Raw genomic sequence first — 14,839 nt, forward strand, 5'->3', positions numbered from 1 at the left:
AATCTGGACTATATAAGGACTCTATTTATGGACTCTATTTCCTTTCACTGTTCTATCTGTCTCTTCCATTAATCTATTCTTTGACTTATACCATACTGTCTTGATTACTACAGCTTCATAGTAAGTCTTAAAATCGAGTAGTATGAGTCCTTCTACTTTTTGGCTATTCTAGGTTTCCTGCCTTTCCACATGAGTTTTAGAAACAGTTTGCCAATATCTACAAAATATTTTGCTATGAATTTCACTGGGATTGCACTGGATCTACAGATCAAGTTGGGAAGAACTGACATTTTTAAAATATTGGGTCTTCCAATCCAAGAACATAAGATATCTCTCCATTTATTGTCATCAGTGTATTGTAGCTTTCTGCATTATAGGTCCTATATTTTGTTAGGTATATACCTAAGTATTTCACATTTTTGGTTCTATTGTCAATAATTTTTAAAATTTAAAATAAATTGCTCACTGCTGGTATATAAAAAAGCAGTTGATTTTTGAATATTAACCTTGCTTCCTGTAAACTTGCTATACTCATTTATCGGTTTCAGGAGTTTTGTTCCTTTTTGATTCTTTGGGATTTTCTACATAGACAATTATGTCATCTGCAAATAAAGATAGATTTATTTCTTCTTTTCCAGTTTGTAGGCCTTTTGTTTCTTTTTCTTGTCTTATTGCATTATTTAGAACTTCTAGTATGAAGGTGAATAGGAATGGTAAGGAATTGTTACATCTTCCTGGAGAACCAAACCCTTTATCATCATGAAATGTCCCTTTTTGTCCTGATAATTGTCCTAGTTCTTAAAGGCTGCTTCATCTGAAATTAATATAGCCACACCAGATTTTTATTAATTAGCATGAGCATGAAATATCTTTCTCCATCCCTTTACTTTGAACATATCTGAACCTTTATAAAGTGGGTTTCTTACAGATCACATATAGTTGGATATTGTTTTCTTAAATCCATTTTCATAATCTCTGCTTTTTTATTTAGACCATTTACATTTACAGTTATTTTGACATAATTAACATTTACCATATTGTAGCTGGTTTCTATTAATACAGAGGTTGCACTTGTCCTTTGTTTCCTTTTTCCCTTTCTTTTCTGCCTCTTCTAGTGTTTTGGTTGCTTTTTTGTTTTTTGTTTTTTTTTTTTTTTTTTTTTTTGAGACAGAGTCTTATTCTGTCACCCAGGCTGGAGTGCAGTGGCATGATCTCAGCTTACTGCAACCTCCACCTCACAGGTTCAAGTGATTCTCGTGTCTCAGCCTCCTGAGTAGCTGGGATTACAGGCATGCACCGCCACAACTGGCTAATTTTTTTATTTTTAGTAGAGATGGGGTTTCACCATGTTGGCCAGGCTGGTCTGGACTCCTGACCTCAGGTGATCCACCCACCTTGGCCTCCCAAAATGCTGGGATTACAGGTATGAGCCACCACACCCAGACCTGCCTCTTCTAGTTTTAATTTAGCATTTTATTTTGTTCCATTGTATCTACTCTCTTAAATCAATTATACTTCTTTTTTTAAAAAATTAATATTTGCCCTAGAGATTGCAACATATATTTTTAACTAATTTAAGTCCACTTTCAAATAACACTATACTACTTCACATGTCATGCAGATACCATATAACAGAGTATTCCAATTCTATCCTCCCATCTTTTATGATATTGTTTCATTTATTTCAGTAATCCATGAGCTTTAATTACCTAATGAATCATTACCACTATTATGTTAAATAGCTATCTTTTAGATCAATCAACAATAAGAAAAATAGAGGCTGGACACAGTGGGTCACACCTGTAATCTCAGCACTTTGGAGGTCGAGGTGGGAGGATCACTTGAGCCCAGGAGTTTGAGATCAGCAAGGGCAATATAGTGAGACCCTGCCTCCACAAAAATAAAAATAAAAAAATTAGCCAGGCATGGTGGCACACACCTGTGGTCCCAGCTGCTCAGAAGACTGAAGTGAGAGGATCACTTGAGCCTGGGAAGTCGAGGCTGCAGTGAGCCATGATCACGTCACTGCACTCCAGCCTGGGTGACAGGGCAAGACCCTGTCTCAGAAAAATAAATAAATAAAATAATAATAATAATGATAATAAAATAATTTATTTTACCTTTATTCCTTCTCCCACATTGTTCCTTACTATATGTAGACATGAGTTTTTCTCATTTTTCTTTTCCCTGAAGAACTTCCTTTAACCTTTCTTGCAGAACAGGCCTACTAATGATAAACTCTCAGTTTTGTTTGTTTTGTTTTGTCTGAGCAAGTATTTCTTGCTCACATTTGAAGAATAATTTCACTAGATACAGAATTCTAGTTTGGTGGTTCTTTCAACATTTTGAATATTTCTCTCCACTCTCATCTTATTTTCATAGTTCCTTCTGAGAAATTCTTGTTCACTATAGTAGGTAATGTGGGTTTTTTCCTTTGGCTTCCTTCAGGATATTTTTTCTTTATTTGTCGTTTCATGCAGTTTAAATGTGATATGCCTAGGTGTTGATTCTTTGATATTTATCCTGTTTGGTGTTCTCTGAGCTTTATGGATCTGTGGTTTTGTGTCTGTATTTAATTTTGGAAAATTCTCATCATTATTAATTCAAGTATTTCTTCTGATCCATTTGCTCTTCCTTCTTCTTCTGGTATTACAATTACACATATGTTAACACCTTTTGAAACTGTCCCACAGTTCTTGAATGTTCTCTTCAGTTTCTTTCATTCCTTTTTCTTTGCATTTCTGTTTGGGAAGTTTCTATTGACAAATCTTTAAACTCATTATTAATTCTTTCTTCCCACAATAGATCATGTATCCCAGCTATTGATGAATTTTAAATTCTCTGACTGATGAATTCCAAAATCATACCTGAGTCTCTGTGATATTTGCTTTGTTTCTCTGAAGTGTTTTTATTTTTCTTGCCTTTTAGCATGCCTTATAATTTATTGTTCAAAGCCCAACATGACAAATCAGGTAACAGAACAGGTTAAAAGGCCTTTAGTGTGAGGTTTTATATTAATCTGGCTAGGTTGTGTTTAATGGGTACTATAGCTGTAGGTGTCAGAAGCTTCAAATTCCTCTAGTTTCCTTGTTTTTGTCCCCCGTCTTGTCTTTGTGCTTCTTATTTTTTCTTTCTGAGATGGAGTTTCGCTCTTGTTGCCCAGGCTGGAGTGCAATGGCGTGATCTCGGCTCACCGCAACCTCCGCCTCCCAGGTTCAAGCAATTCTCCTGCCTCAGCCTCCCGAGTAGCTGGGATTACAGGCATGCACCACCACGCCCGGCTAATTTTGTGTTTTTAGTAGAGATGGGGTTTCTCCATGTTGAGGCTGGTCTCAAACTCCTGACCTCAGGTGATCTGCCCACCTCGGCCTCCCAAAGTGCTGGGATGACAGGCGTGAGCCACCGCACCCAGCTTGTGCTTCTTCTTTTATTTTTTTCTTTTAAGAGACAGGGTCAAAAAAACAAACAAACAACAACAACAACAACAAAGAGACAGGGTCTCGCTCTGTTGCCCAGGCTGGAGTGCAGTAGCATGATCGATGCTTACTGCAGCCTCAAACTCTTCGGCTCAAGTGATCCTCCTGCCTCAGCCTCCCAAGTAGCTGAGACTACAGGCACACCCCACTACATTCCTAGCTAAATTTTAAAAATCTGTTTGTTTATTGTAGAGATGGGGCCTCAATATGCTGCCCAAGGCTGGTCTCAAACTCTTGGCCTCAAGTGATCCTCCTACCTTGTCCTCCCAAAGTATTGGGATTACAGGTGTGGGCCACCATGTCCAGCCTGTCTTTGTGCTTCTTTTAAAAACTGTTATGTAGACAGACTCTGTCTATGTCTTGCTACTCTTTTAGCTATAATCCAGTTATCTTATTTGCTTCACATATTATATATAGAGGAGGTCCACCTCTTCCTTTCTTATGCTTTGGCCAAAATCAAAAGAGTTAAAATGAAAGATAAGGAAAGAAATGGATTAATGAGTTCTTTTGGTCAAAAAAAACAATGATTTCAGTGAATTCAGCTAATACAATTTTCTAATACTGATAGTTGTACCTTGTGCTTACCTCATAAATTAGACATCTAATTTTATACTTCACTTTAATCAGAACATATACCACAAATTAAGTGCTATGATAAAATAATAACCATGTAAACTTTTGCTTCTATTTGAAATAGAGCAAATTATTACCGGAGGCGTAAATCTTCCCACATTTTCAGTAATCCACAGAGCATGACTATCTCATAGTATTTTTTCCAGCATTCAACAGCCTCTGCTGCAGATGGATCTTCTTTAATATTGCTCTGATACTCAATGAGCTCGACACGTTTGTTTTTATATTTCTCCAAAGTTTTTTTAAAACGTTGTGCGATAGGACCAGGTATTGTTCCATCCTGTATATCACACCACCTGAAAATTATCAACATAATTACAATGTTTATTTTTTCTAATGTGCGGTATAAGTTTATAAACTATACTTACAAATTAATTCTTTCTTCAATAAGTGCAGTATAATTCTCACAACTTTCTTCATCATCCCAGTCTCTCCAAAGAAAGTCATAAAAAAACCTACGATAAACCAAATTAAGATGACAGTAATCAAAAACAGCCACTACTGATTTAGAGCTAAATGGATATTCTGATGTCAGAATTCTCTACCTCAATCTTAATTCTTAAGCAAAATATTTTAAAATGACCTTTGAGTGAACTAAAAGGTAAAACTTCAAAAATTAGATGATCTGCATTCTATTTTAGGTTACAGTGAATGAGATAATGAGTGGGACTGTAAAATTGTTTCTAAATTTTATAGATTTTGGCTATTATTTGCTCAAAAAATAAATAATATGTAAGATACTACCAAATTTGTATGGGAGGAAAACATTAGAAAAACAAAAACATGCCAAAAAATATTCTGTATTTTGTTTGTGGATAGCTTCCCTCAAATTGTATCAACTTATAAGAAGCAATCATAATGTGAATGATGATATCTAGTATTTGTAATGCCTTTAAATTTGAGAAATGAATGTTAATAAATTTAAGATGCTTAAATATGAATAGAAGTTAATGTTACTTATTTCAAGAATTCCTTTAAATTTTATTTTTATAAAATGCAAGATCAAAAAATTGCAAACTTTTCATTACCCATATATAATGTTTCTGCAAGGAAATGTTTTTACTAAAAGTTACAAATACAATATGTTAATTTAAAATGGACAAATTTAATCCAGCAGTAGTGAGTGAAAATTAAATCAGTAAGTGCTTGTAAAGCGATTATATGAACAAAACCTTCACATTAACTTTTGGATATAATAAATTTAATTTTCAAAAGTAAAGGCCCTAATACCTGACAACTTCCAAGGCCAAAGCAATAACATGTATATCAGTATCTTGTCCCTCAACAGGATACACTTCCAAAAGAGGCACACTGTGTTCCAGTTCCTCCAAAATCTCATCAACCAAATCTCTTGGAATATTTGCAATGTTGGAAGAAAAGGGCTCAGCAACAGAAACAGTAACTTTGAAACGAGATGATGAGTCTTGGTATGGTTCACAAGTTACCTAAGATAAATATCATAAGAGATAAGAGATATAGTTATAAATATCAGTAAACCGCAGGATTTCTTTCTCATATATGAGCTCATTATAAAGTTTCTTCTTTTAAATTTATGACTTCTTCAACAATCAACATACAGAATAATTATAGATCAATATTAAATATACTACCAATAGTTTTACAAACCCTACTTCTTAAATACATTTTTTTTCAGTTTCATGAAAGGAATTCTGTATCTCCTACATTATTTGTTTCTAAGATTGAGTTGCCAGACTTTGAGATTTCATAAAACAGTGTGTGTGTGTGTGACACACACACATATGGCAGGGTCTTACTGTGGTTGCTCAGGCTAGTGTGCAGTGGCTATTCACAGGTGTAATCATTGCACACTAATCCTTGAATTCCTGGGCTCAAGCCATCCTCTTACCTCAGCCTCCTCAGGACCTGGGACTACAGGAACATGCCACTGTGCCCAGCTAATATTATCGAAAAATTTTTCAACAAATTTTGCCATAAAAGCATGTTAAATATAATAAATCATAATTATAAGCTTCCAGTGGGCATCTAGCACACAGTAAGCACTGAATAAAGTAGCAAAATAATAAAAATGACAATGATAATAACAAAAAAACAAAAACAAACAAAAGCATGTTAAAAAAAAAAAGCCCTGCTATCTGTATTACACCATTGGTAGAAGAATGGCTACTCAAACACCAAAAAAAAAAAAAAAAAAAGGAGAAAGGACATAAAGAGTAAAATTCTTTTTTTTTTCAAAATTGAGATTTTATTGGTTAAGGATCAGTTCAGACATTTCAATTTGTACACAATTCTTGACATATGTAACAAAAATCTAAAAAGCCATTTATTGTAATTCTTTTTTAAAGTTATTCCAGTGACTTTCCAGCTTAAAATTTGGAAGCAAATTTTCTTTAAGAGGCTATAAAGTACCAGTATCTTCACATGTTGGTCAGCTGTTACATACAGCCCACCAGTTCACAACTGAATAGCACCTACACTACATATTCAAATTTGTAACCTTTCACAGCACAATAACAAAGTTATTAGGAAAACAGGACTACCACAACCAAAGATGTTACAGAGTGCACACAATTCTGACAGGGAGAGCCATGATCAAAGAGTGGTTTTCTTTAGGAAACAATTCTTCTAAAAAACATGGGAATGGAAGTAATTTAAAATGTTCAAGACATTAAATGCAGTACTGACTCCATACTGCCATTTAATATGCTTTGTATTATAGGATATAAAAACTAACCCCCCACCTATGGAATGTTAAGCTGATACCTGAGACAGTCAAAGCCTCCCATAATTCAATATCCCACACTATTTTCTGGTTGTACCAAAAAATAAACAACCAGCAAATGATTTCACCTCTTAAAAAAAAGCATTTACACTTAAAAAATGGGATGAGGTGGGATTCCCTCCTTCTTAAAAATGTTTCTAGAGCTACTAAAAAACTTGCATTTACAAAATAGTTGATAAAAATATTCCTCTGGATTGTACAAGAAGGGAGACAGGGACCACTGATAAGACATGGTATATGGTATTAATCAGACTTGGCTTCTTTCTCTCCTGCTTCATCAGAGGCTGGACTCTCCTCAGTTTTCGTTTCCCCATTTTCTGCAGGTAAATCTTTAGTTTCTTGGTTAGCCACTTCGGCCTGTTTTCCCTTTGCTCCCCTTTTCCCTTTTGTTTGCACTTTTTTGTCTGAAGATTTATCCTTCGCTGCTGCCTTTTTCGGCTTCGCTTCCACTGTTGCAGGAGGCTTAGCTGACAACCGCCCCGATCTCCTGTTGGGCTCTTCCTTGGCGGCCCCTTCGGCGGAGCTGACCTTCCTCTTGGGTATCCTGGCGGCAGGCAGGGCGCGTGCCGGGTGCCTGCGGGCCGTGGCGCGCCGAGAGCCTCCGCGAAACTGGGCTGCCTGGCCGCTGCCACTCCTCCCGCCGCCCGAGCTACTGAGACCCACCAAGAGTAAAATTCTTAAGTTGATTTAGCTTCATGAACAACATGCTATATTGTTTATTCATCTTATTTCACCATAGTATAGTGATACTTCCCTGCACTTGTCTGAAAATCAGTGCTTCAGAACCAAAGTTGATAGTTTTTTAAAAATTTAATAAATTACACATTAATACAAATTTTAAAATGTTGGCACAAAATTAGTATTAACACAAACACTTCCAAAATCTGTTCTAAAAATTTTCAAGTACAGCCAATGAAATTCTTTATTTTTCGGTAGAGTTATGTCACAAAAAATATTTTAAATATCAGTAAGTGTTATATCATCAGCACATAAAACAATAATCACTTAAATACAGGAAATATCTTCAAATCACTAACCAAACTTTGAAATACAAAGTTTATAACTAATTTAATATAAATTATGTTCTTCAAAGCAGTTATGGGACAGAAGAAAACTTAGAAAATAGAATAACAACTTAAAACTGGGTGTTTGAAGATAATAAATGATCTGCAATCCATATTTGTGACAGGACAAAAATATATTTCCAAAGAGTCATTACGAAATATGATACTGAGCTTTATATTTTAATATTTTAGTTCTCTCTCTTTTTTTTAAGAAACAGGGTTTCACTCTGTTGCCCAGGCTAAAGTGCAGTGGCACGATCATAGCTCACTGCAGCCTCGAACTCCTGGGCTCAAACAATCCTCCCTGCTCAGCCTCCCAATTAGCTAGGACTACCTGTGCCACCATTCTTGATTTTTTTTTTTTTTTTTTTTTTTTTTGGTACAGACAGGGTCTCACTATGTTGCCTAGGCTGGTCTTGAACTCCTGGCCTCCAGTGATCCTGCTGCCTCAGCCTCTCAAAGCGCTGGGATTACAGGAATGAGCCACCATGCCTGGCCTAGTTTTTTTTGTTTGTTTGTGTTTGTTTTTGTTTTTTTTTTTGAGACAGGGTCTCACTCTGTTGCCCCAGCTGGAGTGCAGCGGTGCAATCTCAGCTCACTGCAACCTCTGCCTCCCAGGTTCAAGCGATTCTCCAGCCTCAGCCTCCCAAGTAGCTGGGATTACAGGCATGCACCACCACAGCCTGGCTAATTATTGTATTTTTAGTAGAGATAGGGTTTCACCATATTGGCCAGGCTGGTCTCAAACTCTCGACCTCAGATGATCCACCCGCCTCAGCCTCCCAAAGTACTGGGATTACAGGCGTGAGCCACTGCACCTGGCCTGGCCTAGTTTTGATTTTTTTCAGTATTATACATGCATATAGTTTAGAATCAAATAGCTGTACCAGGTTTGTTATGAAAAATAGAGTTCAGGCTGGGTGCGGTGGCTCACGCCTGTAATCCCAGCACTTGGGGAAGCCGAGGCGGGTGGATCACCTGATGTCAGGAGTTCAAGACAAGCCTGGCCAACGTGGTGAAACCCCATCTCTACTAAAAAATACAAAAATTAGCCTGGAGTGGTGGTGCGTGCCTGTAATGCCAGCTACTCAGGAGGCTGAGGCAGGAGAATAGCTTGAACCTGGGAGGTGGAGGTTGCAGTGAGCCGAGATCGCGCCACTGCACTCCAGCCTGGGCAACAGAGCAAGACTACTTCTCAAAATAAATAAATAAATAAATAAATAAATAAATAAAAGAGGCCGGGAGGCCGAGGCAGGCAGATCACCTGAGGTCAGGAGTTTGAGACCAGCCTGGCCAACGTGCTGAAACCCTGTCTCTACTAAAAATACAAAATTAGCCAGGCATGGTGGCGTGCACCTATAGTCCCAGCTACGTGGAAGGCTAGGGCAGGAGAATCGCTGGAACCCAGGAGGCAGAGGTTGCAGTGAGCCGAGATCATGCTACTGCACTCCAGCCTGAGTGACAGAGCGAGACTCCATCTCCCATCCAAGCACTAACCAGGCCCGACCCTGCTTAGCTTCCGAGATCAGACAAGATGGGGCGTGTTCAGAGTGGTATGGCCGTAGATGATACTCAGTCTCAAAAAAAAAAAAAAGAAAGAAAAATAGAATTCCTTGATGGTCTTCTATCACCCTCTAATTCTTGCTCCTCAGAGGCAACCATTTTTAACTCTTTTAGCTGATTATTTTTTGACATTTATATCTTTATCTTTAAATAATATGCTTATATTGCTACTTAAAGTTTTGTTTCCAGTTTTGGCATTGGATATTGACTTCCAACTCTGAAAGATAAGAATTTAGTTATCTCTTTCATTTTGCCTCATTTCCTTAATATACAACCACTCTTTCCTGGCCTTTCATTCACCAATATGGTTATATCTTAAGTATTCAGCATTTATCTTAATATGTTTGAAAAATGTGATTCACAGGTGAGCCATATGGTGTGAGCTGATTTTTCATTCCTGCAAAAAACGTTTTCCCAGCAGTCAATAATTGTATTGCTTTTCATTTGCTCATTTTCTTTTTTCTTTCTTTCTTTTTTTTTTTTTTTTTTTTTGAGACGGAGCCTTTCTTTGTCACCCAGGCTAGAGTGCAGTGGTGTGATCTCGGGCTCACTGCAACTCCTCTGCCTCCCGGGTTCAAGCAATTCTCCTGCCTCAGCCTCCCACGTATCTGGGACTACAGGCGTGCGCCACCACATCCGGCTATTTTTTGTATTTTTAGTAGAGATGGGGTTTCACCATGTTAGCCAGGCTGGTCTTGAACTCCTGACCTCAGGCAATCCGTCCGTCTTGGCCTCCCAAAGTGCTGGTATTACAGGCGTGAGCCACTGCGCCCAGCCATTTGCTCATTTTCTACGTGGCTTTCATTAATTTAGCCCCAAATTCCTTAAGTTGTAAAAATCTCCTTTCAATATGTTCAAAGCCAATAGATTGTGTTTGAAATAAAATACTGGTTTCATTTTATTTAAAGCACTCTTCCAGAGTTCTCTGACCAGTTCTATTCTGAAGTGGTTCTCTAGGCCTGCTATGTACATAGCTGTTATCACTTTGCCATCATCCCAGGAATTCCCTTTGTTTTTCTCTTAGGTTGTGGCTTCTCTACATTTTGAATCTGATGTCTTCGTATTTCTTGATTTACTCCCTTGACTGTAGATGACATCCATTAACTTCCTAAGAAAGGGTGCATTGGACATAACTTTTGAGACCTCACATATTTGAAAATGTATTTTTTCTACACTTGACTTATAGTGTGCCTAGGTATAAAATTATACAGTGGGATATCACTTTCCCTAAAATTTTTGAAAATACATTTTCATAGCTTTTTAAAACTAAGAATTACTTTTGAAAAGTCTGGATTGGGTGTGGTGGCTTACATCTGTAATCCCAGCACTTTGGGAGGCCGAGGTGGGAGGATGTCTTGAGGCCGGGAGTTCCAGACCAGCCTGGTAAACATAGTGAAACCCCATCTCTACTAAAAATACAAAAATTAGCTGGGTATGGTGGCGCATGCCTGCAGTCTCAGCTACTCGGGAGGCTGAGGCATGAGAATTGCTTGAGCCTGGGAAGTGGAGGTTGCAGTGAGCCAAGACTGCACCACTGCACTCCAGCCTGGGCAACAGAGCAAGACTCCGTCTTAAAAAAAAAAAAAAAAAAGGAAAGGTCTGATGTCTGATGCCATTCTACCTCTTGATTCTTTATATAAACCTATCTTTTTCCTCTCTGGAATCTTATTGGACCTTCTCTTTGGTCCCAGTATTCCCAAATTTCATTATGTGTTGGACACTAAGTGGGCCCTTTCAGTCTAGAAATTTATGACCTTTGGTTCTGAGAAACCTTTACAATTTGACAATTTGCTTTCTTCTGTTCTTGCCACCAACCTCTTCCCCCATCTCTCTTCTCTCTTCCTTTCTTCTCCTCCTCATCTCCTCTTCACTGGTTGATCCACCCAGGCTCTTTCTGTGGTAAATCAGTATCATTAAGTCTTTTTTTTTTTTTAGCATATGATCATACAAAAATATTTCAAATCTCATTCCTGGAGTGATATGCCTTAGCTGCCTGTGTTCTAGAAGCAGAGTTGGAAGGTAGAAGATAGAGGATCCCAACATTCAGTACCAGCAAATTTTCATGTAATTCCCTTCTTCCCAATGGGAGTACTCCCACCCTTAACCATGCTCCTCAATTTGGCTTCTTAAATTTGTAGGTTTATATCTTTTGCCAAATTTGGTAAATTTTCTGCCATTCTTTGAATATTTTTTAGCCCTCTCTCTTTCTTCTCTCCTTCTGGAACTCTGAAGACATGAATGCTAGGTCTTTTGTTATAGTCCAACATGTTCCTGAGGTTCTGTCCTTTTAAGTCTATTTTCTTTATGGTGTTAGGATTTGATAATTTCTATTTTTCTATCTTCAAGCACAATAATTGTCCTGTCTTCATTCTGCTTTTTGTTGTTGCTGTTTTACACGTTGATGTTTCCAGGTTGTTAGCTCTTCTAGTACCCCATCTAGAATATATGGTGCAAAGAAAAGCCCAGGTGGCTGGGCACGGTGGCTTACGCCTGTAATCTCAGCACTTTGGGAGGCTGAGGCAGGTGGATCACCTGAGGTCAAGAGTTCGAGACCAGCCTCGGCAACATGGTGAAACCTCGTCTCTACTAAAAATACAAAAATTAGCCGGGCATGGTGGCTCGCGCCTATAATCCCAGCTACTCAGGAGGCTGAGGCAGGAAAATCACTTGAACCTGGGAGCTGGAGATTGCAGTGAGCCGAGATCGCGCCATGGTACTCCAGCCTGGGTGACAGAGTGAGACTCTGTCTCAAAAAAAAAAAAAAAAAAAAAATCACAATGATCACCTTAACACCTAAATCTTTTTCTGCATTTCTACACTTGGATCTTAGGCAAAAGGCCAAGAAGCAATGTTTTTCCACATTTCCGATTTTCATAGAAGACATTTCCAGAAATAAAGTGCTAGTTTAAAGTTCTTGATATATTTTGCTAAACTGCTTTGTACAGAAGTTATAAAAAAGTTTTCTTAATTTCTGGACCATTTTATAACCAAAATTAAGGATATGCTAGATTTCCTTCCCATCAAATACAGTTGACCCTTGAACAACACATGTTCCAACTGGATGGGTCCACTTATATGCGTATTTTCTTCTGCCTCTGCTACCCTAGTGACAGCAGGACCAACTCCTCTTCTTCCTCTTCCTCCTTCTCCTCAGCCTATTAAGCATGAAGACAACAGAAATGAAGATCTTTATGATGATCTATTTCTATATAATGAATAGTAAATATATTTTTCTCTTCCTTATGATTTTTCTTTTATGAGACAGGGTCTTGCTCTCAAATTTCTGGGCTCAAGTGATCCTCTCACCTCAGCCTCCCATGTAGAGAGGACTATAGGTGTGCACCACCACCCAGTTCATTTTAAAATTTTCAGTAGAGATGAGGTCTTGCTATGTTGCCCAGGTTAGTCTCAAAGTTCTGACTTTAAGCGATCCTCCTGCCTTGGGCTCCCAAAATGCTAGGACTACAAGCACAGACCTCTGTGCCCTGCCTTTACAATTTTCTTAATAACATTTTCTTTTCTCTAGCTTACTTTATTGTAAGAATATAGTGTTTATCATATTTATGACATACAAAATATGTTAATCAACTGTATACGATATCAGCAAGGCTTCCAGTCAACAGTAGGCTATTAGTTAAGTATTTGGGAAGTCAAAAGTTATACACGGATTTTTGACTGTGCAGGGCCCTGCACTGTTCAGGAGTCAACACTATGTTTCTAAGTTTTTTGTTTGTTGGTTGGTTATTGTATGAATTCATGATAGGCATAATAATGGCCCCCAAAGACGTCCATTCCCTAATCCTAATCTGTGAATATGTTACCTTACATGGCAAAATGGACTTCACAGATGTGATTACAACTAAAGACATTGAGATGTGGAGGTCATCTTGGATTACCCAGTTGGGCCCATTCTAATCACGAGTCTATTAAAAGGGGACTGCCTTTTTAGCCTGCAGTGAAGCAGAAAGATGCAGTGTGAGAAGCACATTGAAGATGAAGGAAGAGGGCCACAAGCCACAGAATGCAGGCTGCTTCTAGAGGTTAAAAAAGGCCAGGAAACAGATTCTCCCACACAGCCTCCATAAAGGTATGCAGCCTTGCATACACCTTGATTTTAGCTCAGTTAGGCCCATGTCAGACTTCTGACCTACAGAGTTGTAAGATAATAAATTTGTATTCTTTGAGCCACTGAGTGTGGTAATTTGTTGTGGCAGCAATAGAAAACTAATACAGCATCTAAAGAAAAAGCGATCAGGGGCCCATAGGAATAAATTATTGTGACATCAGAACAAAGAGTATTATATAGCATTATTAATACTTCAACTGAAGTAAGACTAAAGAAGCAGAGTCAGATAAAACAACAATATGAATTGTGCAGCACTATCTTAAGAGGTCCCAAGAGCCATTCTCACTTGTTTTTCTGCCACAAAAGAATTAGAATCTGCCAATATACTGTTTTGCTTTTTCCTCTGTTCTTATGCTTCATCCTGTCTTTCTAACATTTAGAGGACATTACTAGACCCTCACAAATTCTAAAGCAAGGCAGGGACAGATTAAATAATCAATGTATTGCAGGTAAAACCTTAGAAATTGATAGAACTTTAAGGTTACCTAATCCACTGAGTTTCCATGGAACTTTAGAGATCTTGAAAAGTTTTATGGAGTATAGGGGCTATCATGAGGTATGGAGAGAGCTGCTAAGACACCATCATCCATTTCAATCAGAAATGTTCTGCTTTAATGTTAAGCTTCCACATAAAACCTGATTGAAAAAAAACCCACAAACTTATACTAAAAAAAAAAAAGTCATAAAGCCAGATGAAAACCATTTTTATCCAGATGAAAAAAATCCAGAGAAGTTGTGAAAGATCTCGGCAAAGCTACTCAAAGTCTGAAGATGAGCAAACCTCTACAAAACAGAGTACTACTGGCTGGGCATGGTGGCTCTGCCTGTAATCCCAGCACTTTGGGAGACTGAGGTGGGTGGATCACTTGAGGTCGGGGGTTCGAGACCAGCCTGGCCAACATAGTGAAATCCCGTTTTTACTAAAAACACAAAAATTAGCCGGGTGTGGTGGTACACGCCTGCAGTCACAGCTACTCAGGAGGCTGAGGTGGGAGGACTGCTTGAAACCTAGAGGAAGAGGTTGCAGTGAGCTGAGATTGCACCACTGCACTCCAGCCTGGGCAACAGAGTTAGACCTTATCTTGAAAAAAAAAGAAAAAGGAAAAGAAACAGTATTACTGAAATATTAACTAATAGAGTCTTATTGAAAAATTAACTAATCCCAATAATCTTTTACATTCCTTTGTAATCTCTGTGACTGAAAATATGGTATTCT

At 38.1% G+C, this 14,839-nt stretch overlaps 1 protein-coding gene and 2 pseudogenes across 2 annotated transcripts in view; all 3 read right to left on the bottom strand.

Moving 5' to 3' along the window:
• The window catches only part of SHCBP1L (SHC binding and spindle associated 1 like), a 53,302-nt gene that overhangs the window by 35,125 nt on the left and 3,338 nt on the right, over positions 1–14,839 (bottom strand). For both annotated transcript variants that reach the window (NM_030933.4, NM_001345928.2), the window contains 3 exons: positions 5,340–5,554; positions 4,478–4,564; positions 4,187–4,405 (listed from right to left, as the gene is read on the bottom strand). In NM_030933.4, the coding sequence (NP_112195.2) occupies positions 4,187–4,405; positions 4,478–4,564; positions 5,340–5,554 (521 nt within the window). The remainder of the gene's footprint in view (positions 1–4,186; positions 4,406–4,477; positions 4,565–5,339; positions 5,555–14,839) is intronic.
• HMGN1P4 (high mobility group nucleosome binding domain 1 pseudogene 4) lies at positions 6,317–7,533 on the bottom strand (annotated as a pseudogene).
• On the bottom strand, positions 9,376–9,501 carry RNA5SP71 (RNA, 5S ribosomal pseudogene 71; annotated as a pseudogene).

The sequence above is a fragment of the Homo sapiens genome, chromosome 1 (genome assembly GCF_000001405.40).
Source record: "Homo sapiens chromosome 1, GRCh38.p14 Primary Assembly".
NCBI lineage: Eukaryota > Metazoa > Chordata > Mammalia > Primates > Hominidae > Homo > Homo sapiens.